Source organism: Homo sapiens, chromosome 8 (genome assembly GCF_000001405.40).
Source record: "Homo sapiens chromosome 8, GRCh38.p14 Primary Assembly".
NCBI classification, from domain to species: domain Eukaryota; kingdom Metazoa; phylum Chordata; class Mammalia; order Primates; family Hominidae; genus Homo; species Homo sapiens.
Window position 1 is genome coordinate 54457233 of NC_000008.11, and position 26580 is coordinate 54483812.

Below are 26580 nucleotides of genomic sequence, written 5' to 3' on the forward strand. Positions count from 1 at the left end.
TATATACATCATGTATACATTTTCGTACTTTCACATGATGTGTATAATAAGATACACATAAAAACTGGTTGGCTTGTCATGAGTAAATGCTTTATTCTTTAGAGTGAAGGAATATTGGATACAGAACGTCGTTCCATATTTAATCTTGCTTTAGAAAATTAGGATTTATCTTGGACACAGCATTTTGAATATAACACAGGCAAGTTGAGTCCTGGGGGAAAAATTGTATTTTTAAATTTATTATCAACGGTGTCTTTCGCATTTGAGAAAACACATTTGAAGATGCCCATGCAGTTCCTTGGAAGTAAACTAGGTCACCCACCACTGAAACACCCTCGGCTTCTGCAAAAAGATGTGCTTTAAAGAGAATAGAATGGACGCTCGGTATGTTCATCTAAACGACCTTGGGCAAGTACGTCGATTCCAAGGTACAATCAGCCCTCCCAGACGGCTTTTCGAGTCTCCCTAACCCCGGTGGGAGAGGACGCGGCGCCAGAGCCCAGCTCCGGCTAGTTTTCCCGGGGGCAGGTGTAGCCTTGGGCGCGGGGCCGGGGGAGGGGCAAGGGGCGGGCGTGGGGTTGGACTGGGACGTGGGACTCGGACCACGGCCTGGGCGTGGGCCTAACGACGCGGGACCGGCCCGCCCTCGCCGCTCCATTGGCCACATCTGTGCAGAAAAGGCCCCGCGGCCCAGGGGCGCCCGCAGTGTCACTAGGCCGGCTGGGGGCCCTGGGTACGCTGTAGACCAGACCGCGACAGGCCAGAACACGGGCGGCGGCTTCGGGCCGGGAGACCCGCGCAGCCCTCGGGGCATCTCAGTGCCTCACTCCCCACCCCCTCCCCCGGGTCGGGGGAGGCGGCGCGTCCGGCGGAGGGTTGAGGGGAGCGGGGCAGGCCTGGAGCGCCATGAGCAGCCCGGATGCGGGATACGCCAGTGACGACCAGAGCCAGACCCAGAGCGCGCTGCCCGCGGTGATGGCCGGGCTGGGCCCCTGCCCCTGGGCCGAGTCGCTGAGCCCCATCGGGGACATGAAGGTGAAGGGCGAGGCGCCGGCGAACAGCGGAGCACCGGCCGGGGCCGCGGGCCGAGCCAAGGGCGAGTCCCGTATCCGGCGGCCGATGAACGCTTTCATGGTGTGGGCTAAGGACGAGCGCAAGCGGCTGGCGCAGCAGAATCCAGACCTGCACAACGCCGAGTTGAGCAAGATGCTGGGTGAGTCCGAGTCGCAGACCCAGGCGGCCGGGCGCGCTGGCGCGAATCGCTAGGCCGATTTCTTAAACCCCAAACTGTTCTTTGCGAGCCTGACGCCCAAAACCAGGGGTGTGTAGCGGCCACGTCCTTTCTTAAGGCTCTGGGTTCCCTTCCCGCTTCCCGCCCTCCGACCCTCCAAAGCAGCTTTCCGCCTTGCTCTCCGGCTCCCGGATTCCCCAGGTGGCCGGGGGCGCGGGTCCAACGGCTCTGGGAAGGCGACTTCCCGGCACCTCCGGGCGGCGCGAGAGCACCCTTGGCCCTGAACTGGGCCGGTTGTGTCCATCCCTCGACCCCTTCCCTAGTTAGGTGTCCTTTTCTGTTTTTCGAACGACCGGGTGATGGGTGAGCGGAAAGCCGCTTCCAGGAGACCAAAAGAAAGGGGTGCCTTTAGAGGACGGGTGTTCCCCAAGGGCTCGGACTCAGGAGTCCCAGATCTCCCTCTTTAACTTCACCCCGGTTGCGCAATTCAAAGTCTGAGGGGGGAGGTGCGTCCAGGTGGGGCCAGGTGGGGCCTGGAGCGGGAGCGCAGCCGATAAGCCCTGCGCCCCTCTCCCCCTTCCTTCCACTGTGCAGGCAAGTCGTGGAAGGCGCTGACGCTGGCGGAGAAGCGGCCCTTCGTGGAGGAGGCAGAGCGGCTGCGCGTGCAGCACATGCAGGACCACCCCAACTACAAGTACCGGCCGCGGCGGCGCAAGCAGGTGAAGCGGCTGAAGCGGGTGGAGGGCGGCTTCCTGCACGGCCTGGCTGAGCCGCAGGCGGCCGCGCTGGGCCCCGAGGGCGGCCGCGTGGCCATGGACGGCCTGGGCCTCCAGTTCCCCGAGCAGGGCTTCCCCGCCGGCCCGCCGCTGCTGCCTCCGCACATGGGCGGCCACTACCGCGACTGCCAGAGTCTGGGCGCGCCTCCGCTCGACGGCTACCCGTTGCCCACGCCCGACACGTCCCCGCTGGACGGCGTGGACCCCGACCCGGCTTTCTTCGCCGCCCCGATGCCCGGGGACTGCCCGGCGGCCGGCACCTACAGCTACGCGCAGGTCTCGGACTACGCTGGCCCCCCGGAGCCTCCCGCCGGTCCCATGCACCCCCGACTCGGCCCAGAGCCCGCGGGTCCCTCGATTCCGGGCCTCCTGGCGCCACCCAGCGCCCTTCACGTGTACTACGGCGCGATGGGCTCGCCCGGGGCGGGCGGCGGGCGCGGCTTCCAGATGCAGCCGCAACACCAGCACCAGCACCAGCACCAGCACCACCCCCCGGGCCCCGGACAGCCGTCGCCCCCTCCGGAGGCACTGCCCTGCCGGGACGGCACGGACCCCAGTCAGCCCGCCGAGCTCCTCGGGGAGGTGGACCGCACGGAATTTGAACAGTATCTGCACTTCGTGTGCAAGCCTGAGATGGGCCTCCCCTACCAGGGGCATGACTCCGGTGTGAATCTCCCCGACAGCCACGGGGCCATTTCCTCGGTGGTGTCCGACGCCAGCTCCGCGGTATATTACTGCAACTATCCTGACGTGTGACAGGTCCCTGATCCGCCCCAGCCTGCAGGCCAGAAGCAGTGTTACACACTTCCTGGAGGAGCTAAGGAAATCCTCAGACTCCTGGGTTTTTGTTGTTGCTGTTGTTGTTTTTTAAAAGGTGTGTTGGCATATAATTTATGGTAATTTATTTTGTCTGCCACTTGAACAGTTTGGGGGGGTGAGGTTTCATTTAAAATTTGTTCAGAGATTTGTTTCCCATAGTTGGATTGTCAAAACCCTATTTCCAAGTTCAAGTTAACTAGCTTTGAATGTGTCCCAAAACAGCTTCCTCCATTTCCTGAAAGTTTATTGATCAAAGAAATGTTGTCCTGGGTGTGTTTTTTCAATCTTCTAAAAAATAAAATCTGGAATCCTGCTTTTTTGCTCTACTAGTACCTCTGTCACACTAGTCTTATCAAAAACCAGTTCTTAAGATCAATGTTAAGTTTATTAGTTAATGTAAATTTCTCATCCTCGAAAAGGGTGAACATAAATGCCTTTAAGGAGTATATCTAAAAATAAACATTAGGATATCTAAGTTTGATGTAATTGTTTCAGGAAGGAAAAAAGAAAAGCATTCTGGAATGAGCCTACTTCAAGTAATCTTAGTTTCTAAAACTAACAGTTAATATTTTCAATTCCAGTATATCACTTTAAGTAGAAGGGGATGTCCAAGTAATTTTGGTTTTCTAACTGTTGAATCATAAGCTTGACCTGCCCCCAGAGGCTTTTTGGATGTTTTTATCTGTGTTTTGCCATCTCTTTACACTCCTCGACATTCAGTTTACCTTAATCTTCACATTTTTACACCTTGGGAAGTGGCAAGCATCGCTGGGTTTAAGATAAAGGAGTCACAAAAACTAATCAAAATAAAATTTGCATTATGACAACTTTTAATACACTTTAGCATTTTATTTGATTGGTTTTTTTTTTTTTTGCTTTTAGATTTAATACATATACGGACGATTGCACAGACTTAGGGGAGAATCCATGAATGGTTTGTGTGTAGTGTCCCTATCTATCACCATTACTTTATCAAGAAGAAACAGTTACAGGGTTGTGAGTAAAAGATGGGGATCAGCCCCTGTAATCTGCCATACTAATCGCTGTGGCACGTCTCACCACATTTGAGATTGAGACATAAATGGAAACAGGTGACTTATAATGGGCATTTCCTGTGCCAGATGTTTGTTCAATGCCATTCTAAACAGTGTGAGCCTCAACAAACCTGCAGGTTTAGGTGCTATTTTTCCTATTTTGTAAGAAAAGGAGGCACCAGGCCTTCCCCTGCCATGTATATGAAGGCTTGTATTACAAGTTCTTTTGACATATTTCTCACCTGTTTTCCTCTGGGCCAGTATGTATTCATGGGCACTGGGAGAATTTACATTCTGTTGATGAGAAACCATATAATTATCCTTAGCAGCAAGTGCTATAGAAAAAGGAAAGGCTTGGAGGATAGCTTCCAGCATTTACATGGGAGAGATGTCTGAGCTGAAATGATTGGCTGGATTCTCTTGAAAAAGGGCATGGAATATGTTTTTTAGAAGGGATTCCTGGAATGTGAAGGATAGACAGTTTTAGTGAGGAAAGGTAAGTTTATTCTGTCAGGCATAACAGGCTGCCTTTAAAAAGGTTAAATTCTTTCTCTTAGCTCAGATGGGTTGTTTCTGCTTCCAGCCTGAGCTCCTTCTGCAGGGTGTCCCAAGAGTTCCCAGTAGATAAAGTGGACAGAAGGGCTACCAGCCCAAGTTCAGGGCTGTGCTCAGATTACACTTGGCATTTTCATCATAGTCAGCCCAAGAAGACTCAGTTTTACCCTTGGCTGCCATCTCTTAACGATATTAAGATAAGTACAGAAAAGAAAAAGAAAAAGAGTTCTTAGGGGAAAGATCTAAAGTCCTGTAAATTACATCTTTAACTACTCACTAGGCGCAGGTGGAAAAGCAGTAAGAGCTAAAATTGTTAAGTTAATGTTCATGCATTTACATGGATGGAGGGATTGGTGTTCACAAATAATTTTTTTTGGGTAAGAAGCATCAAGCCAATTCCTTCTCTTTCCTCAAGCACACAGATCAAGTGACTGCAGGTAGCAGCTAGTGATTTTTTTTAATTCCTAATTTTAGTTTTTATGGGTACATAGTAGGGGTATATATTTATGGGGTACATGAGATGTTTTGATACAGATATGCAATGTGTAATAATCACATTATGTAAAATGGGGTATTTATTCCCTGCAGCATTTATCCTTTGTGTTACAATCCAATGATACTCTTAGTTATTTTAAAATGTACAATTAAATTAATATTGGCTATAGTCACTCTGTTGTGCTATCAAATACTAGGTCTTATTCCTTCTATGTTTTTTTTTTTTTGGTAGTTTTAAATTACCAAAACATTTGGTATCCTTAAACCCTTTCTCATTTTAAAGTACAGGGATGTGGGCCCTGGTGGCAAAATTAGAAATAGAGCTTTGGGGTCCATTACAGACCATTATAGTTTTAAAGTGAACGACAGAATGTAAAACTTCTGCCTAGGTCGAACGACTCTATGTCATCACCAAGTGAACAGACCTCCCCCCACCACCAGGTATGACATCGCCAAATGCATAAATCCCCTCTGTGACATTACCAAGTGCCTGGATACCCCCATGACATCACCAAATACGCAGACCTCTGTTTCCTCAAGTAGATTCAGATGAAGTGACCACAGGTACCAGCTAGTGAATTTTTGAGACAAAATATTAAATCTGTCTCAAGTTTTTACTGTTTTATTTTGGAGACAAATACACATAAAGGATACATTGCTTTTCTACCCATGTCTAATTTGGTACTTTAGAATTACATTAGGAGGTAAGAATCCAGCTCTTTTATGAGCTAAGATAGCCAGACTTGATGCCAGTACAGAATGTGCATGCCTTTGAGACATCCGGAGCAATAAGGAAGAGGTTATTTTTTCCCCCATGAGAATACTGACTACATCTCTATTAAAGCTACCAGGTGGGTCTGATAAATTACAGATAAACTTGTAAATGACTTACACAAGCAGCTAAGAGATAATATTGCAATGAAACAATTTACTTATTATTCTTATCAGTAGATTATTGCCTCTTTAGTTTGAATCACGCTGCAGAAGATATCAGCTTGAATTTGTACTGATATTAGGAAAAGCACATACAAGCCAAAGGAATTCAGATAAAATGGAAAGGGTGCAATGAACCAAAAGACATCATCTCAGCCTAACATTTTAAAATGTCCCATTTCATTTTGTTTTTAATACTGTGCCTGTCACATAATAAATGTTCAACATTCCCTTCCTCCTCCTGTTCCTCTTTGATTTGTTTTGACAATAGTGGACAGGGAGAAGTATTTTACATCCATTATTTCAGCACAAATTTATTTTTCCTGCTTACAAGGTGCTTCCTTCTGGGTCTACAATATTCATCTGAAGAAAAATGGCACTGATGTTCCTACCCAGTCCCCATCTGGAGTAGGCTCAAGTTCCTCCACAGGGTGGGCTCCTAATGGAGAGAGTATTTCTTTAGGTCCTCTGGCCTGGGATCCAGCAGCATCTCAGTTTTTCACCATAACACCTATCCCTACCCTCCTTCTAATGAGAAGGTGGCTGTGTGCTTTCTCTGGAATTACCAAGCAGCTTTATGGGAATAATTCAGTTTGCACCATCCTCCATATACAAACACTGAACCCTCACCACTGATATTTTTCCCAGGTTGGTTCAAGACACTGGAAACTACAATGTCTTAGTGCAGCACTTAGTACACGCAAGTGCTAAGTAAGTTGTTGTGATAATCATGATGTTCTTTAATGTAAAAATTTCTCTGTAGCTAAGATTCAAGAAACCATTTGGCTAAATATTTTAAAAATCTCTTCTTGCTGAAGAAATTTTAGCTTTGACAATCTTTTTTTCCACTTGAATCGAAGTCTTAAACCTTTTGCCAAAGTTGACTTCCTAACAAGTATTCCCCAAATTGATGTTGCTCCAAAAGATGATCTTGTGAGGATACTCTCTGTGTGCAGGTTCAGATAACAAAAAAAATAAACATCAGTAGCTGTGCTGTGGATCCCAGTTCTGTAAGTCAGTGCCTTCCCATAAGCCTGATAACTTGTTAGGCAAGAAAAAGAACTGTGGTGCGTGTGAAGTTAAACCCAGCAGTTTTCTGCTCTTGGTTAAGGACTGTCTCATTTTCAGTATTACCTGACGTTACCGGTTGCTCAGAAAACTGACTGAATAACTTGCTGGAAGCAACTTGCTGGGAAGCCCCAAGGAAACTCAAGAGTTCCTGCTTTGCCTCTCTTTTCTATTAGAGGCAGTCACCTGGTGACTATTATTCCTTTCTCTTGAATAATGTGTTTGAACACAAAAATTTAACCCCAGACTGTAAACTACTGGAGCAAGGATTAGAGAATAGCTCTATGAATAAAGCTAGCAGTGTCTGTCCTCCGTAAGAAGAAAAATCTCTGCAGTTTGAATCAGAGGTTCACCTGGCTTGGAAACTTAGCTCTGTGAGTTTGGAGACATCACCGACCATTTCTGCACTCCAGCCAGCTTATCTGTAAAAAGCAGGGGTGACGGTAAAACATTTTGCCAAAGTTGACTCTGGATAACGGCGAAAGCTTCACTGAACTGTTGTAGGGATTAGATGAGATTACGCTGAAGGGAGTGCTTCAGTGCCACAGAAAGTGATCTCTCTCCCTCTCTCCGGCTTCCTATCTTTTGATTTTATGTATCTCTCTCTATCTCAGCTGACTTGGGGAATTTAATTTCATTCTTCCATTGGGAAAGAAAAAACAACAGGAACTCGCCTTCCCCGGGTGCTTTCCTTAGTGGAATGAGAATTTTACAGCCCTATAAGATGGTCTGTGTTTGCTGGAGACACAGCATCTGTGTTTTACTTTGTGCTTTGGACAGCTTAGTCTCTTTGATTATAAAATGAGAAAAAAATAATTGTCAGTTGGAGAACTTTGTATAGAATGTCTTAATACACAAGAACTCCCATCCTGCATGAAAATCTTAAGATCTTTATAAAAGGGACAGTTAATTGGGACATACTGAATGCGATATCAAGTTTGCCAACATTTATCTTTCTGTTAGCCCCTCCTCCCACCAGTATGGTTTCTGAAGTCCTGAATCGATTTCCATACCGTTTACTTTTTGAGAACTGAACAGGGTCTGAATTCTTGAGGAGGAATAAGCAGAGTGTAATGGGGAAAAAGGCAAATTAAGAAAAGATTCTGGCTTCCAGTAGTTCCAGGTAATACTGAAACGCGATCCGCAGGCTTTTAAATCCCTCAGTCCTCAGAAGTTATTTCTGTGAACTGATGGATATGGACGGACTGATAGAAGAAAATTAGTAGACACCAGCAAAATGGAAGGAGCAATTTTATAGCTGCCCCCTATATAGTGGATTTTTCTGCTTTTTAAAATAAATATTTGTTTGGACGTTTGAATACAATAGTAAGGATCAGAGGTGCACACATGCGCACCAAGAATATTGACCTGAAAAAGCTTACTGAGATAACAGGAAGGAAAAATAGAAAATAAAAATTTAGGTTTGTAGTTTCAATAACGAGACTGTGGATATAGAAAACATTATTGTTTTATTCATTTAAAAATAATTTTAAAAATGTAAATGATGCACACGCTTACAACAACTCAAACAACATTGCAGACGGGCTTGTAATATAAACAGAGTTGTCAGAAGTTTCCATCTCTCCCCAGCCCCAGTGCCACAGGTCAGAATCAATTCCTTTTTTCTTCCCCCTACTGGGCATTACCTACATTAATAATTCTGCTTGTCTAGTGGTTAATTAATTAATGTACCTGCATGGCTAATTTTAGGCTTATGAGTTTTAGACATTTACTTTCTGCTACGACAGCTAAGAATTTCCTGCCCGCTCTTCCTCGGAATATAGTTACATCCTTATTTCCACTTCTGTTAATTGTCTTTTAAAGTCCAGGACTACATACCCTTTTCTAGTTCCATCGCGAAGGCGGGAAGTCTCGATTCCTCACTGGGAAAGGTGAGGACATGGATGCCTCCACCCTTCCCTGAAGCACTCCTCTCCTCTTCTGCGGAGGTGGATTTTTAAAAACAGATTGGGGTTGGGGTGGGGGAGGGACAGCACGCAGAATATTGATGCAAACGTCATATGAAAAAAAATACATATAATATATATGTATGTATACCTGCAAAGTGCTGTTACATATACGTGTGTATATTAACAGCATTATGAATCCCAGACAATTGGGGCCGCTTACCGCCGTGGCTGTGACTTTAAATTCACTCACTTCTTACATCCACTAGGAAAAGAGGATTTGTTTCCCTAAAGCCTATAAAAGGGGAAAGGCTTAGGCGCAGTGGCAGCCCCGTTCCCCGCACCCTCCTGCCCTCGGGTCCCGGGCGGGCTGCGGGAGTTCCTCCTGCGCGGGCGTCTGAGGCGCTAGAGGTCACCGGAGCGCGCTCCCCTCGCCAGGGACCTACACTCTTCCCGCTGCTACATTAGGCCGCATTAACAAGGATCTGGATTCACTTTAATTTAAAAGGTAAAAGATCTTAGGTCTGATGGGGGAGTGCGGCGAGGAGAGCTCGGACCGCGACGTCGCGCGCCCGCTTCGAGGAGTTTTGAGCTCTTAGCTTGGTGCCGGGGCCCGCCCGGCGCTAGATGAAGTGCTCGTTTACTCGGCCTAAGCCACGGTGACTCGAAGGTGAGAATGCAACTTCGCGGTGCACCGGCTCAGGGGCCTGCCTGCCGCGCCAAGGCTTCGGAAGTTCTCAGCGGGACCGCTGGGACAGGCTTTCCTCTGAGGGAAGAGGAGGGGATTTGTGCCTCTGCACGTTCTTTCCTGTGGAGGGGAAAATCAAACCCTGTAGCCGTCCGCTGCCGGGTAGGGATCGGGCGATGCTCGGCGCCCGAGTTCTCCGCCGTTGAGGTGGAGCCCGGCGGCGGGAGCTTAGATTCTCTGTGGGCCACATGGTCTCAGAAGAGGCCCCGCGGCCCGGGGGCGCCCGCAGTGTCGCTGGACCGGCGGCAGCGCTGGCCACGCCGTGGGCTGGGACTGGCCCGGAACGCGGGTGGCGGTTCGGCCTCGGAGACCCGCGCAGCCGTCGGAGCATCTCCGTGCCTCGCTCACCACCTTCTTTTCCTCCGCGTCCGGCGGAGGGTTTCGGCGCGCGGGGCAGGCCTGGAGCGCCGTGAGCAGGCCGGATGCGGGATACGCCAGTGACTACCAGAGCCAGACCCGGAGCGCGCTGCCGGCGGTGACGGCTAGGCTGGGCCCCTGTCCTTGGGCCGAGTTGCCGAGCTCCCTCGGGGACTTGAAGGTGAAGGGCGAGGCGCCGGCCGGGGCCGCGGGCCGAGCCAAGGGCGAGTCTCGCATCCGGCGCCTTCCAGGTGGGGCGAAGGTCGAGCGCCAGAGGCTGGCGAGGGACCCCCGCCCAGCTTGACGCCCAGCTGCGCCCGACGCCGGGGGAGGCGGAGCGCGGGGAACCCGGGCGCCGGGAACCCCGGACGTGGGAGGGCTGGGCTTCTGCGCGGGGAGACGCCGGGCTTGGCGAACATCCTCAAGAACCGGTCGGTGGCTCTACCTCCGAAAACTCTTTCGTGTTTAGCGATTCTCATATTTAGTGTTTCCCTTTAGGGAGACTTGACCGGCAATTGCAGACTCGTCTTGGGAGCTGGAGATGACATTAAATAAAAAGTTCAAAACCAAATTGTTAATTATCTCCAGGTATAAACGATAACACAAAATTTTGCAGTCTTGGGAGAAAGGTTTTAATGTGCCGCCTAATTAGGCCAGGTTCTGCAAAAACGAAACAGCTCTATTCCAAGTTAAAAAGTATGCCCCTATTCCAAGTTAAAAGAAAAAAAAGTTGTATTCCTTGTTCATTTATTGAGTAAGGAATTGAGAGATGGGTGCTGAGTTATTACAGATTCTAACTGCTCGCCACACATGGAGCTAGAAATACATTTAACAGCCTTTCAGGAAAACGCCTAAAGCTTTAGAATTTCAAGCTAGCCAGGTTGCAATCTAGAGCTCTAGTTTGTTGCTGAAGTTTGGGAGAGGATGGCCTCTACCTGTGCACACATCGAGTTAATTTTCCAGAGTCTTTTGAAGTTAATAGGGAGCGGCTTTTCTGTTTGTTTATTTTTTGACAGGGTATCCTTCTGTCGCCCAAGCTGGAGTGCAGTGGTGCATCGCAGCTCACTGCAACCTGGACCTCCTGGGCCCAAGCGATCCTCCTGCCTCTGTCTCCCAAAGTGCTGGGATTATAGGCATGTGCCACCGCGCCTGGCCTGTTTTTTGCTTTTAAGAGAAGGAATAACATGGCCAGAGTTTGTTTGTTTATTTTTTGAGATGACGTCTAGCTCTGTCGCCCAGGCTGGAGTGCAGTGGCGCGATCTCGGCTCATTGCAACCTCTGCCTCCCGGGTTCAAGCGATTCTCCTGTCCCAGCCTCCCAAGCAGCTGGGATTACTGGCGCGTGCCACCACTCCTGGCTAATTGTCTTATTTTTTAGTAGAGACGTGGTTTCGCTATGTTGGCCAGTCTGGTCTTGAACTCCTGACTTCAAGTGATCCACCCGCCTTGGCCTCCCAAAGTGTTGGAATTACAGGCGTTACCCACCGCGCCCCGCCTGTTTTTTGCTTTTAAGAGAAGGAATAAAATGGCCCGAGTTTATTTTAATCAAACCAGTGTAAAACCCTTTCTATTCTGCATTATAGCTTTATTTAAAACTTATTTCATAGAAATGTAAGCAGCATATGAAAACAGTTTCCCTGCTCCAGTCCCAACTTCAGATATTCAGATATGTGTCCTGTGTTCCCTTGAACACATTTTCTCTTTTCTTTTCTTTCTTTCCTTTATTTCTTTTCTTTTTCTTTCTTTCTTTCTTTCTTTTTCTTTCTTTCTTTTTTCTCTTTCTTTCTCTCTCTTTCTTTCTTTCTTTCTCTTTCTTTCTTTCTTTCCTCTCTTTCTCGCTTTCTTTTTTTCTTTTTTTGAGATGGAGTCTGGCTCTGTCACCACGCTGGAGTGCAGTGGTGCGATCTCCGCTCACTGCAACCTCCGTCTCCTGGGTTCAAGCAGTTCTACCTCAGCCTCCCGAGTAGCTCGGATTACAGGCGTCCGCCACCAGGCCCAGCTATTTTTTGCATTTTTAGTAGAGACGGGATTTCACTACGTTGGCCACGATGGTCTGGAACTCCTGACCTCAGGCGATCTGCCCAACTCGGCCTCCCAAAATTCTGGGATTACAGGCGTGAGCCACCGCGCCCAGCCGCACACATTTTCTATTTACAGTCATACAGAGGAGTTTCTCCCCCCAAGCCCCCATTGGGATCGCATTTTCCTACTATTCTGAAACTTGCTTTTTCAGTTTAGAGTACACATTTGGCGGTCTTGTATTCCTAGAAGATGGACTTCGATTTACCGGTTGATGGTCTTCTCCACTCTTCCGTGGGGTCAGCCCCACTTGTCCCGTCTCCAGTCCAATGTCAGTTTGTGACTTAATCTTTTACATCGTGTACAGTCTGAGCCCTCAGACCCCCTCACACATGCACAAATTGAGTTTATGCACAGAACAGATAGTACCTGTACTTAAATGTAGACTCACTGGGGAGCACGTTTCACTCCATAAGAAAAGGGGTAAAAATTGTGCACACCATAATTGCAATATTTTACAAGACCGGTGCTTTCTTTATCTCAGGGGTGCTGGCAGAGAGAGGTGCATAGAAAACTCTGGGTGGGTTATTTCCTCCTGGAGCATTGCCCCTCCGTTGCCTGCTTACCTGGGCAAGTGCTGGTCTGCGTGGATGGCTTATTGGCACTTCCGGGACCCTCATGTCGTAAGGCTGAGACCTAAGAAGCTGATTCTGTCCAGGAGGTGAGATCTGCCCCGATAATCGTAGGCTGATGGGGTCGCTGCTCTGGCGTCATAGTTAATGTTAACTTCCACTCACACTGTGTTCGTCTGGGTGATAAAAGTGTGTGGGGCGCCTCTTTGCAGGCTTCCTGTCCTCTTGGGAGATGTCTGCGCTTTGTGAGTTTGGGAAACAACTGGGTACCCAGCGAGGTGGGCGCAGGAGGAGGAGCTGCCTTCCTCCGGGAGGCGGCGCAGCGCGGGGATCTTGCGGGACCAGGCCAGAGACCAGGACCGTCCCCCAACCGTTCGCGGCCGCGTAGCCCTGGGCGGCCTGGGCCTGCCCTTCCCCGCGCAGGGCTTTCCCTCCTGCCGGTCGCTGCCCCGCACATGGCTCTGGTCGTACTCCCGCTCCACTGCCACCACTGCCCACGCCCTGCGTCCCCGTTTGACCGCGTGGAGCCGGACCCCGCCTTCCTCGCCCCGCGCTGCCCCAGGCCTGCCCCGCACCAGCAGCTAAGCGCAGGTCTCTACTGCAAGCCCGCAGCCCCCTCATCGCTGGGCCTACTGGCGACCCCCGGCGCCATGCGCGTGAACTGTGGGCGACGGGCTCGCCCTTGGCGGGCGGCGCGCGCGGTTTCCAGATGCAGCCGCCGCGCCGGGGCAGCTGACGCCGCCTCCAAAGACGCGCCCTGCTGGACGGCGCTGACCCCACGCAGCCAGCGGAGTCTCCTGGGAACAGCCCAGGCGCCGGTGCCGACTTCAACCTCTCTGCTCAGGCCTCTTGAGTTGCGTTACCAGCTTACCATGTATTACTAAGACTGACAGAATATAGGAAATATTCCTGTCTTTCTCAGAAGGAACTTTCCAGTAAAGACAGCGTTTAATACTGTTAACGTCTCAAAGGAGGCAGTGAAAAATGTGCTCAGCTTAAGCATATGCAAAGTCAGTCTATTTCCATTTTCTACTTATGCACATTATATTTTGCATTAAAGTTTGATCATTTTAAAAGTGGAAAATTAATGGGCAGTGGCAGAAACAGCTTTTTTCCCCCAAAAGTAATCTTCTTCCAACTAGTTTTAAACATTTTACTAACAATTATTGAGTATCTTCTACATTTTAAGTCATTATTTTAAAGTTCTTGGTTATTGACATGTTGTAAATTTGAAAAATAAAGTTTTTCTTAAAAAATTGTGTGTGTATGTAGATTTTATATTCTGCAAAATTAAATGAAGTGTGTGTGTGTGTTATTCAGGGCCCCGCAGGAAACAGCTAACATACTTAAAGAGTGCCCGAAGAAAGATCATGAGTGGTCTATACATGTGAATCCATCTCGGGACTGGAAGCATCCAGGGCCCCAGGCGCTCAAAGCTGCACTCATCAGGCCTGACTGGGATGATGGCAAAGCAGTCCCTGGAGCCCACGATGACTGTGGCTTTAGGAGTTCTGCCAGCCAGGAGCTCTGACCTTGAAGCTAATGCTGATTGTGGCCCAGAAAGATGGGACTAGGAAATAAATCCCGGAGAAAATCCTGTTGCCCACCTGGTTTGCTGGCCAAACCTGACCCCCAAACCAGAGGACAGGAGGCCAGTGGACGCAGGAACCCGGAGAGCTGGGGGAGAGGGCATATGCTGGGGGACATCCAGGTGGAAAGGGCCAGGCTTTCCTTTAAGCAGCTCCATGGGAGGCCGTTTAGCAGAGCACCGTCATATTATGGGTGCGGAGCGTCAGGGATGGGAGGAGGGAATCTTAGCTGCTGTTCTTCTCATTCTCAAGAACTTTATGGCCCAGGTGGGGACCCAACCAAAAATGAGTAACAATACAACATTGCCGGGTGGAACGTTCCTTCCCTACTTTCTCTGGTTGACATTACTTCTTAGAAAGGTTGGGTGACACCCTCTTAGGAGCTTGTGTTTTGTCCCTTAAATGTTAGAGGTTTGAAATACTAGTTTCTGAGGAGGCTTTTCAAAGGTTGGGGATACATTAGTACCTGCAGAATGAGCTAATAAAATGGATTAATACATGCCATTCTCCATGATAAATGTAGAGTACGTATCTTGCTATTTTTCATACTACTTACTTAAGACTTTGAATGAGCTTGGCTATTTTCCGACCAAAAATTAGCTATGGTTTTCAAAAGAGCTTTGTAATGTTTGAGTGCTTTTCCCTGGAATCAGGGATGTGGATGTAGGGTGAATGATTTCTGTAGAGGATTTCTAAAATCGGTTTTTCAGGAAGCATCTTTGTGATCAAAGGTGCAATTCAACTCCCTGGATTCATGTTAAATAAATTTTGAAATGAAATACCATAGGCCGGATGCAATGGCTCATGCCTGTAATCCCAGCACTTTGGGAGGCCAGTCTGACCAACATGGAAAAACTCCGTCTCTACTAAAAACACAAAGTCAGCTGGGCGTGGTGGCGCATGCCTGTAATCCCAGCTACTTGGGAGGCTGAGGCAAGAGAATCGCTTGAATCTGGGAGGCGGAGGTTGCGGTGAGCCGAGATAGCGCCATTGTACTCCAGCCTGGGCAACAAGATTGAAATTCCATCTCAAAAAAAGAGAAATACTGTAATACCCACATGACCAGCACTGTATTGCTGTTTAAGAACTGGTGACCAGCACTGTATTGCACTTTAAGAATTGGGGACAGAGCTCCCTGTTTGGCCTCTCAGATGGGATGCGACCATGGCAGTTGTTGCTGTCTCCCCAGAAGAACTTTGGTTTTTCTTTGGAGAACTTGCCCTTTCAGCATCGTCAGTCATGAGGTCTGGGTGGAGGTCACTCGGGTGAGCCCGGCATGTCTCAAGCTTGTTGGCATTACCCATCCCCCTACCCCCCCAGTTATCCAGTTAAAGGACAGACGTGACTCAGAAGGCGGGTGGATCGCCTGAGGTCAGGAGTTCGAGACCAGCCTGACCAACATGGAGAAACCTCGTCTCTACTAAAAATACAAAAATTAGCTGGGTATGGTGGTGGGTGCCTGTAATCCCAGCTACTTGGGAGGCTGAGGCAGGAGAATCGCTTGAACCCAAGAGGTGGAGGTTGCGGTGAGCTGAGATTGTGCCATTGCACTCCAGCCTGAGGAACAGAGCGAGACTCCATCACAAAATAAATAAATAAATAAATGAACAAACAAGAGAGTGACTGGAAGCAGCCCTCCTTGGACACAGTGGGGGTGACGGTCCATAACCAATGCAGCCATTTTCATGAGAGTTGGGCCAGGAGGTTACCGGTGGAGAACGGACACAAAGCCAAGCAAGGACACAGAGAACCTGGATCCCAGGTGACAATATCAAGGCTCCCAGGGAGTGAGCTGTACCTCTGACTACTTCAGTTATGTGAGCAAATTCAGTTTATTTACTATGAGTTCATTTTCTTTTCACTTGAAACAAAGGGATTCATAACAGATAACCAGGGTACAGGGCAGGCTGGAGCAGTGATTGCTAATTCCACTGGCTGGCACAAGGAAATACCAAATATGGAGTCTCTTTGGACCGCCGGCATTTGCATTGCCTGAGATCATCCAGAAATGCCGAATCTCAGACCATCGCTGCACTTCTTCTTTAGATTGGTCCAGAACAGTACTTCTCAAATGAATGTGCATGCAGATCTCCTTGGGATCTTGCTAAAAATGAAGTTCCAAGATTCTGCACTTCTAGCAAGTTCCCAAGCTAGGCTGATGGATCATACTCAGAGAGCAAAGCCCTGGTCTACACTTACTTCATAGGGACCATTCTTTTTTTTTTTTTTTTTTTTCCCCCGAGACGGAGTTTCGCTCTTGCTACCCAGGCTGGAGTGCAATGGTGCGGTCTCGGCTCACCACAACCTCCACCTCCCAGGTTCACGCTATTCTCCTGCCTCAGCCTCCTGAGTAGCTGGGATTACAGGTGCACGCTGCCACCACGCCTAGCTAATTTTGTATTTTTAGTAGAGATGAGGTTTCTCCATGTTGGTCAGGCTAGTGTTGAACTCCCAACCTCAGGTGATCCGCCCGCCTCGGCCTCCCAAAGTGCTGGGACTACAGGCGTGAGCCACCGCGCCCGGCCTTAGGGACCATTCTTAACCTAAAACACTTGAAGTTCAGGAACGGACACTGAAGATTCATTTCAGAAAAGTCACTAGATGAGAATCTTGGGTCATTTCTCCTCTGCTCCTTACCTCGGCACAGCCTGTCCTCCTGACTCACCAGGATCCTCTTTCTTTTCTCCAAAGTCTTATCAATGATCTAGTTAGATCGAGACTGACATGAGCTGACAACACATACACCCTGTTGGCAGGCGGCAAGCAGCCCCCGCTTCCTCATGCATTTCCACTGGCCTCACTGCCAAATTCATTATTGCTCATCATTTCAAGAATCTGTCTCTGGTTTGCTTGTCTCTCTTACTAGATTAGAGTCAGGCTCTTGCTGTAACACAACATACTGAATTAGATACTGAGTTTCTACCTTCTATAAACAAATGATTCTCAAAGCAGGTTGCACACTGCAATCAGTGGAAGCTTTAAAAAAAGACTGAGGCTTGGTCTGGCCCCTTGAGATTCTGACTTAATTGGTTTTGCCTGCAGTCAGGGTGTTTCAGTTTTAAAATCTCTCGAAGTGCTGCTAATTGCTGCCATAAGTAGATGAACATATTGATATCACAGAGCTACCTGAGAAGTCAGTTACTTATTTAGGTATTTATTTCATCAAATATTTATTGAACATCTATTATATGCCAGACACTATACGTTGTCTTCAAAGATAAGACACATACATTCCCTGTCCTAAAGGAGCCTGTCATCCTGTAGAAGGGAAAGGTGTATAGACAAATAATTGTAATGGTGTGTTCAATGCAATGAAAAGTATAAAAACTATCCTTTGGCAAAAGGCAGAGTGGTGGATTCCATGTAAAGGGGCATGGGATAAAGGTAACTATGGCTGACAGTAACTGAGCATTACTATGGAAGAGGAAGGCCTCCAGAGAGTGCTGATGTGTGTGTGAGGCCTTGAAGGAGGAGAGAACCCAATGAAGAAGGTGAGTGGGAGATGGGATGGGGAAGGTTTTTCTGGGTTGAGGTTGGGGGATTTGGGGATGAGATGGTGGAGGAGCTGAGGGGGCTCCCTTCTGTTTTCTTTGTAAAATCAGAGTGGGGTGAAAACCTGAGAGGGCACAGTGCTGGGTGTTGGGAGGGGCAGGGGCATTGGCAGGGGTGGGCCTGAGAAAAGCAGTGAGCTCTGTTCTGCAACATTGAAGGCCCTGATAAAGGTGAGTTCATAGATCAGCATCCCTCTTCAGGCTCTTGTGAGCAGAAGCTCCCATGTAAACAGAGATGAGACTATAGGATTCATCCGAAGCTGTGCTTTCAGCAGCAGGGGTGAAGGCAGACAAGAGGGCCAGAGAGTGTTGGTGAGACTGGGGTTCGAGAGTTCCAATTTCCATATGGAGGAAGTGAGATCTGAAGAGAGCTTGGGAAAAAGGGAGGGAGAAGCTGGGATGACAGGAGAAAGTATCAGAGGGGAATTTCAGAGACAAGTAGGTCAGGGTGACCAAAATGTGCAGGATGGACTGCTGAGGGGGTGACTGTCACTGGAGTTGTGGAGCTCTGGGACGTGGATGCTGAAACCCCCCATGGTGGGGAGGGGAAGACTGTGATCCTCTCTGTACATGGTTCATGAGATGCCCACCAGTGGGTCCACCCAGAGGGGAAGGCAAGTCTAGTGGGAGTGGATTTGAAGAAATCATTCAGGAGGGGGAGGTAAAAGAGAACATAGGGACATGGCACTGAAATGCAAAACAGAGCAATGGAGAAACAGGAAAATACTGAGGAAAAAGGACAGAGGTTCCTAGTGATAAAAGGAAGCCTTGCACATCCCTCTGAAAGCTGGATTTTTTTTTTTTTTTTTTTTTTAGTTTAGGGGTAAAAGACCTAGAGTTCTGAAACTTTGCTAGAGGCAACAGTGGAACTGTTGCTACCAGCTCAAGGCCAACCTAGACAGCATCTCTTATCAACTCTGTAATTGATAGCAGGCTTTACAGATAAGTGATTTCAACAATGCACTCCTGCTGAGAACTTCCAGTTAGAATTAATTGATCTTGATCACTGGGTGCTAAACTTCAAAAATCATTATTAAAAAATATTCTGCCCAACAGCTCCATATTGACACCTTGAGGCAAAGCCCCATTCATCTGGCATCAATTACAGTTCTGCTCAGCCTGGAGGGATGCCTGACTTCCCACACTTGACATTCCTCTCCCCTCCCCCAGACCCTAGAACCTTCCCTTATCCTATTACTGAGCATTAGGGCCAGGTTCTCTATCTGACAGCACAAGGACAACACCCAATGTCAAGAGGAGCACTATCTGACCCAAGATATAATGGAACTTCAGAAGGTGGCTGGCTTTCCCAGAATTTCCCACTAGAGGAGGGGGATGCACCTGGGGTGCTGGAAACATGCGTGCAGGGGTCCTCCTGGAGCCTCCTCCTCCAGAGAAGTCCAGTGATCTCCAAAAACAGGGCACACAGACCCTGCAAGATGCGCCCCCTACTTAGAGAGAGACAGAGCCGCCCGAAGACCTTCGAGGACAGAACCCGAGTTCACCAGTCAATGAACGCCGGGAGCATCCTCAGACCCTCTGCAGCCAATGCTGGTGTGAAGGTGGAGTCAGTTCTTTCTTGGAAGTTTATTACCAGCGGCGGCTGCGACGTCCATGTTTGCAAAGGAAGGGAGGCCTTCCTCTTCCCAAGTGGATCCTACATCCCGCTCCACTCACTCCACTCAGGAGAATCAAAAAAGAGGAAGATAGGGCTTTCTGCCTTCCTTTTCCCAGCTTTTCTTTCTGGGCTGTCTCACTCGGGCTTTTGCTGAACCATACACCCCAGAACCATCCAAGAGCACAATGGCTCTGTGCTGTGGGGGAGTCTCCAGGTGCGGTTATATATAGTGTGGGCCAGCACACCCACTCCCGTTACTCATGCAGTTTGGCCCTGGTTGAATGCATGAACAATCTCTTCCAGGCACTCCCTGTTTTCACTTCCCGCTGCCCACAGGGCCCCTCCTCTGTCTGACCCTTGGGGGTCAACATCCTTTCTAGCTAATCCACCCCACTTCCTCCCTCAGGCCGGGCTGGAGGCTGTTTTTTAACTTCAGGGGTTCCTGGAGAAGAGCTTCCTCTGCCCCTTCACGATCACATCAAACACACTGGATTCAGGGTCTTGAGATTTGAAGATTTGAAAGCAGAAAGATCAGTGTGAGTCCAAACTGTGGGAAGGAACATGATGAAAGAGGCTGGACTTGAAATATCCACCAGCGAAGGTGGGCAAAGGGCCGCCTCAAACAGGGAGAAATGGGAGCACCTCGCATTCTGGGTTCTCTGGACAGCAGCCTGAGCAGCTGGAGCAGGGGCGCAGGGGTGTCTGAGGGGCTCTGGCGAGAGTTCGTGCAAGCAGCATACTCAGGCAGGGTGGGCGCTGCACAGGTGATGGAGCTGGACACCTCATTTTGAGAGCCCCCTAGCTGGGTCTGTGACCTGGGGCCAGCCCCAACCACTCGGAAGGTCTGTTTCCTCCCTGTAAAATGCAGGTAATTATATTAAATAACTAACTGCAGAGTCACTGTAAGGATTGGAAATATTTGCACAGTGCCTGCCTGAATGATGGTATTGGGAGGAGACCTGTGTACCTGAGTTCCTCTGACCTGATATTTCCACGGGAGCTGGGGGGCAGCTGATGAGGAAGAAGCTTCTGCCCCACCAGCGCAATTCTGTACCGAGCAATGCAGCCTGAGCCTCCGAGTGACCACCCTCCTGAGCAGTCATAATTCACTGGGATAGAAACATGAAACAGTTTTTTCTCGAAGTATGGCTTTAACCATGCTCTCTTAAATCTCCCTGTCTTGCTCTTTAATGATCCCTTGGGAAGATTTTATTACTTTTTACTTTTATTTGTTAAAATCTAACTGTATTTATTTGAAAACTAAGAATGCAAAAAGTCAATTCGCTGTAAAACCTCAAACATAGTTTAAATCTTATCCCTTTTATTCCCTTCCCTAAAGGTTTAAACTGGGACCCTATCTACCAGCCATGGAAGAGGAGGGACACCCTGCCTTACAGATATCCCTTCTCCCCTCCCTCTCTAAGGCAGGCTTCTGCTGTGTGCGTGTTAGACTGGGGTGTGGAGGAAGGAGAGGGAAAGGGACAAGGGTCATTTTACTTACCTGGTAGCCGCTGCTGTGCTTATCTCTGGTGCTTCTCTGCAGGTCATTTACTGGACTAAGATCCCTTATGTGGCAGGGTCCAACTCATGGGCCACATGGGATGCTTTAGAAGGTGCTGGGGGCCACCATACTGCCTTCTTCCTGGGAGATGGGCTGCGGCTGGCCACTTCCACTTCCACCTGCCCATCCTGGGCGGCAAGCCCACAGCTCTGTGCTCAGGCGCCCTCACCTGGAAGGCAGTTTTCTCTGTGGTGCACTGGCAAGATGACTAGGGCCTGATCACTTTGCATGGTGCCCACTCTACACCAGGAAAATCCATGCACTCTGGAAGGTAGTGAGATGGCCCCTACTGCCCCTCTCCCAGCCCTGCCGCTTCCCCTCAAATTCTTTTTTCTTTCAAATTTGATTCTTAGACATCAAATCAGAAACCAAAGTTCAACTCTCCTTTATTGCATTTCCTGAAACATCTGTCTTCCTTTTTTTTTTTTTTTTTGAGATGGAGTCTTGCTCTGTTGCCCAGGCTGGAGTGCAGTGGCACAATCTCGGCTCACTGTTAACTTTGCCTCCCAGGTTCAAGTGATTCTCCTGCCTTAGCCTCCTGAGTAGCTGGGACTACAGGAGCGCACTACCACACCCAGCTAATTTTTGTATTTGTAGTAGAGACAGGCTTCACTGTCTTGGCCAGGCTGGTCTCTAACTCCTGAGCTCAAGTGATCCAACCACCTTTGCCTCCCAAGGTGCTGGGATTATAGATGTAAGCCACCATGCCCAGCCTGTCTTCCTTTTCAGAAATTATTTAACCTACAATTATTTATTATGTAATTTATAAGACATTCAAGGACTAGGTGTGGTGGCTCACACCTGTAATCCCAACACTTTGGGAAGCCAAGATGGGAGAATCACCTGAGGTCAGGAGTTCGAGACCAGCTTGGCCAACATAGTGAAACCCCTGTCTCCACTAAAGATATGAAAATTAGTCTGTAATCCCAGCTATTTGAGATGCTGAGGCTGGAGAATCGCTTGAACCTAGGAGGCAGAGGTTGCAGTGAGCAGAGATCGTGCCACTGCACTCCAGCCTGGGCAACACAGCAAGACTCCGTCTCAAAAAAAAGACATTCAAAATTACACAGTGTAATAGCATACCACCCATCGTAAGAAACAAACATCTTCTACAGTTGGTCCTTTGTATTCCTTTGTATAATACTACATCCGAACTGTGTTTGTAGTGATTCTTTATTTGCATGTGAAAGAAACCCAACTCTGACTGGACTGATAAAAAGAAAGGAAGTATTGATTATGTAATTAAGCCACAGAAAGGGCAGGTAGACTTTTTTCTTCTTTTCAATTTTTTTTTGTTTTGTTTTGAACCTTTAATGATAATATATATGCATACTGTTGGGCTATAGAACACCATGTTTGGTTTGTCTTTGGGTCAAGGGTTGGGGATGCGCATGGCAGCACTAGTGAACAGGGTCTACATCAACAAAGATACACGTGGTCATAAAGCAAGAAACTGGTGCGTGGCGTGGTCAACTTTCATTTCCTCATCACTCAGTAGCATGTTGGGGTCCCCACGGCTGATGTGGGACAGATGTCCAGACTCTGCGCATTGCAAGGTGTCCTCTAACACATCCAGCTCGAGCAGCATGTGGTGCATCTCCCTTGGAAATTTCTCATAATGCTCATACCCCTGAATCAGCCCTTTGGAAACCTCGAGCAGGTCCAGAGTCTTGGCTGCTTCCAGGAGTGCTGCCCACTCCACCATGGGTAGCATACACAAGTGTTGAACTTTGTAGGGTTGATGTGGACCTCAGTGTAGTGGGGAGGTGGAAGGGGAAGCCACAGGGCCCCATCCCCTGCACATGTGAGCTCAGCTGATTGTGGGGTGAGCAGTTTCAAGTCATCCCATTAGCTCTTGCCAGGCCAGAAGTGGAACGGTCCTCTTTTCTCTTCTGAGCTTCTGTTGGCCTGTTGGTTTCATTCCTTTCGGCTGTGGATCTCCAATATACTGGATCTATTGGGACAGCTCTTTCCAGCCTCATTGCTAGATAGGGCGTGTGCCCTCCACCAGCTCCAGACAGAAAAATGCAGGGGAAGTCATATGCCTATCGTTGAATCAATTATTGTGTGTAGGGGGACTGGGTATTGGGTTAGGCTGAGCCTGGTTTTTTAGAGTTAGGTATTTTATTTTTAGAAAAATTGAGAGAGAATGCTTGGTACTACTTAGTATCCACTGTATAGATCCACTCAATTCTTTAAAATGCTGCATTGTATTCTGCTTCAGGGCTGTGCTGTTATTTGGCCAATCTCTATTAATGGATATTAAAGGTGTCTCCATATGGAATCAATCTAGGTTCCCATCAATGATGGGTTGGATGAAGAAAATGTGGAACATGCACACCATAGAATACTATGCAGCCATAAAAAAGAACAAAATCATGTCCTTTATAGCAACATGGATGCAGCTGGAGGCCATTGTCCTAAGCAGATTAACACAGAAACAGAAAGCCAAATGTCACATGTCCTTACTTATAAGTGGAAGCTAAACTTTGGGTATACATGGGCATAAAGATGGGAACAATAGACCCTGGGGACTCCAAAATGGAGAAGGGAGGGGAGCAAGGGCTGAAAAGCTTCCTAATGGGTACTGTGTTCACTATTCAGGCGATGGGTTCAACAGAAGCCCAAACCCCAGCGTCACACAATATACCCTCGTAACAAACCTGCATGTGTACCCTCTGAATCTAAAATAAAAAAAAAATTTAAATAAGAACTTAAATGGACTGGATGTGGTGGCTCACCCTGTAATCCCGGCACTTTGGGAGGCTGAGGCAGGAGGATCACTTGAAGCCAGGAGTTTGAGACCAGCCTGGCCAACATGGTGAAACCCCATTTCTACTAAAAATGCAAAAATTAACCAGGCTTGGTGGCACATGCCTGTCATTCCAGCTACTCAGGAAGCTGAAGCAGGAGCATCACTTGAACCCGGGAGGCGGAGGTTGCAGTCAGCAGAGATCACCCCACTGGGTGACGGAGCAAGACTCTGTATCCAAAAAAGGAAAAAAGAAAAGAAAATAAATTGTCTCTATTTTTTTCCTGATATGAACAATGCTTTCCATAACATTCTTTTATTTTTGTAAGCATGCGTCCATATTTTTTATAAGACAAATTTCCAGAGGTGGAATTGCTGCCTAATGGTATGCGGGTGGATCACGAGGTCAGGAGATCGAGACCATCATGGTTAACATGGTGAAACCTCGTCCCTACTAAAAATCCAAAAAAAAAAAAAAAAAAAAAAAAAGGGAAAGAAAATTAGCCAAGCGTGGTGGCGGGCGCCTATAGTCCCAGCTACTTGGGAGCCTGAGGCAGAAGAATGGCGTGGACCCGGGAGGCGGAGCTTGCAGTGAGCCGAGATTGCGCCACTGCACTCCAGCCTGGGCGACAGAGCGAGACTGTCTTAAAAAAGAAATAAAATTGATATTGCCAGATTACTTTCTAGTTGCACTCTACCAGTAGTTCACAACAGTGTTGGCTTTTCCATACTCCCACCAACATCAACGTACTGGTTAATTTGTGCTGTGTAACAAGCTTCTGAAAACTTAGTGGTTTGAAACCAACAACCACTTATTTGCCCACCATTCCATTGATCAGCAATTTAGGCAGGGCCCAGATGGGATGGCTCACCTATGTTGACCATAGTGCCCCAGTTTTACAGTCAGCTGGAGGTCAGTGACCTCGCTCACATGTCTGGCAGTTGGCTGGCTGTTAGGTGGAGTGATGGAGACAACTAGGTCATTTGTATTTGTCAGTCAGCATGTTGTTGGTGGCCAATGGATTCCCAAGAACTGGAAGTTGCAAGTTCCATTGCATCAGTACTTTTCAAGCCTGCATTTGGGTAACATTTGCTAATAACCCTTTGGCCAAAGCAAGCCACTTGGTCAAGCTGGGATCCATAAGATGGAAAATAAGCTATACCTCTTCATGGGACAAACTGCTAAATATTGTGATCATTTTTGTAATCTATCATAGCCAGGTTATATCATTTTGTTAATCTTGGTCAATATGACTGGTAAAAAATGAAATAATCTTTTCTTAAATTTTACTATTATGATTGATCATTTTTTCCCAATTTGTGTCCATCATTTAAATTTGTTATATAACTTGAGTGTCTGTATTTTTGTTTGGGGTTTTGTTTTGTTTTCCACTAAATTGAAACACCATTTTTGACATATATTAACTTTCTCATATGTACTTGGATTTGATTTCTTCTGCATCCTCTATATTTTTTCTGTACCTTATTTGTTAATTCCTGAAAATATTTTCAATATTTCTTTTTTTTTTTTTTTTTTTTTCAGAGAACAGGGTCTTGTTAAGTTGGCCAGGCTGGCCTTGAGCTCCTGGGCTCAAGCAATCCTCTTGCCTCAGCCTTATGGGTAGCTGGGATCACAGGTGCTGCCACCATGCCTGGCTCCTATTTACTATTCTTATTTTAAAATTTCTTTTTCTGGCCAGGCATGGTGGCTCATGCCTGTAATCCCAGCACTTTGGGAGGCCAAGGTGGGTGGATCACCTGAGGTCAGGGGTTTCAGACCAGCCTGGCCAACGTGGTGAAATCCTGTCTCTACCAAAAATACAAAAATTAACTGGGCGTAGTGGCAGACACCTGGTCACAGCTACTTGGGAGGCTGAGGCAGGAGAGTTGCTTGAACCTGGGAGGTGGAGGTTGCAGTGAGCTGAGATTGCACCACTGCACTCCAGCCTGGGAGACAGAGCAAGACTCTGTACCCCTCTCCCTAAATTTATTTTTCTATTAATTAACTTTTATTATTCTATTTAAAGTTAAAATCATACTTATCCAGTTTGAAAAGAATTGGAATTTAAATTGGAATGATAGTACATTTGTAGCTTACTTTAGGTAAAATATATATTTTTACGATTCATTCCCATCTCATATTTCCTAGCCTGGTCTAGAGATTCAATGCAATCCCTATTAGAATGCCAATTGCTTTTTCTTGCAGAAAAGACAGTTTGATCCTAAAATTCATATAGAAATACAAGGGTCCTCAAATAGCCAACACAATCTTGAAAAAAAAAGTTGGAGGATTTCTATTTCCTGAGTTCAAAACTTAATACAAAGCCACCGTCTGATACTTACAACTCAACAATAAAAGGACAAATAACTCAGTTTAAAAATGGGCAAAGATTTTGAATAGACTATTTTTTATACTGTCTTTGTCTGGTTTTTGGATCAGGGTAATATTAGTTTCATAAAATGAATTGGGAAGTCTTTTCTATTTTTTGGAGGAGATTGTGTAGAATTGGTGTTACTTCCTTTTGGATTGTTTGAGAGAATTTTCCTGTGAAGCCATCTGTGCCTGGAGATTTCCTTTTTGGGAGGTTTTTAAATTATAGATTCAATTTCTTCAACAGTCATAAGATTATTCAAATAATCTCTTTTATATTGAATGGTATTTTGTGATTTTCAAGTAAGTGGTCTATTTGTTCTAAGTTAGTAAATTTATGATTATAGAATTGTTCATAGTATTCACTTACTATCCTGTTGATATCTGCAGTGTCTGCAGTGATATTCTGTTTCATTCCTGATATAGTAATTGGTATCTTCTCTCTTTCTTTGTCAGTCTTGCTAGAAGTTTGTAACTTTTATAGAGTTTTTCAAGGACCCAGTTTTTGCTTCATTGGTTTTCTCTATTATTTTTCTGGTTTCAATTTTATTGATTTCTTGTTTTT

The 26580-nt window shown here is 47.4% G+C and overlaps 2 protein-coding genes and 1 pseudogene across 2 annotated transcripts; 1 reads left to right on the forward strand and 2 right to left on the reverse strand.

Annotated features, from left to right (window-relative positions):
• SOX17 (SRY-box transcription factor 17) lies at positions 703 to 3660 on the forward strand. The gene is made up of 2 exons (NM_022454.4): positions 703 to 1213; positions 1826 to 3660. The coding sequence occupies exons 1-2, from the start codon at positions 907 to 909 to the stop codon at positions 2761 to 2763; spliced, it is 1245 nt and encodes a 414-aa protein (NP_071899.1). The 5' UTR covers positions 703 to 906; the 3' UTR covers positions 2764 to 3660.
• On the reverse strand, positions 8362 to 13194 carry LOC100129098 (uncharacterized). Its single transcript, XM_041680557.1, has 2 exons — positions 12741 to 13194; positions 8362 to 10310 (listed from the first exon to the last, which is right to left on the reverse strand). Exons 1-2 carry the CDS (start codon positions 13192 to 13194, stop codon positions 9556 to 9558), a joined length of 1209 nt encoding a protein of 402 aa, XP_041536491.1. The 3' UTR covers positions 8362 to 9555.
• Positions 22161 to 22761, reverse strand: TRMT112P7 (tRNA methyltransferase subunit 11-2 pseudogene 7; annotated as a pseudogene).

Excerpts from the sequence above, each read along its gene's own strand:
- LOC100129098 (XM_041680557.1), bottom strand. The coding sequence starts at position 13,194 with ATGAGGGGGCTGCGGGCTTGCAGTAGAGACCTGCGCTTAGCTGCTGGT. Across the intron at positions 10,311-12,740 it reads TTATCACCCAGACGAACACA|AAGCCCAGCCCTCCCACGTC; the intron begins GTGTGAGTGGAA and ends CTCCCCGCGCAG.
- SOX17 (NM_022454.4), top strand. The coding sequence starts at position 907 with ATGAGCAGCCCGGATGCGGGATACGCCAGTGACGACCAGAGCCAGACC. Across the intron at positions 1,214-1,825 it reads CGAGTTGAGCAAGATGCTGG|GCAAGTCGTGGAAGGCGCTG; the intron begins GTGAGTCCGAGT and ends TCCACTGTGCAG.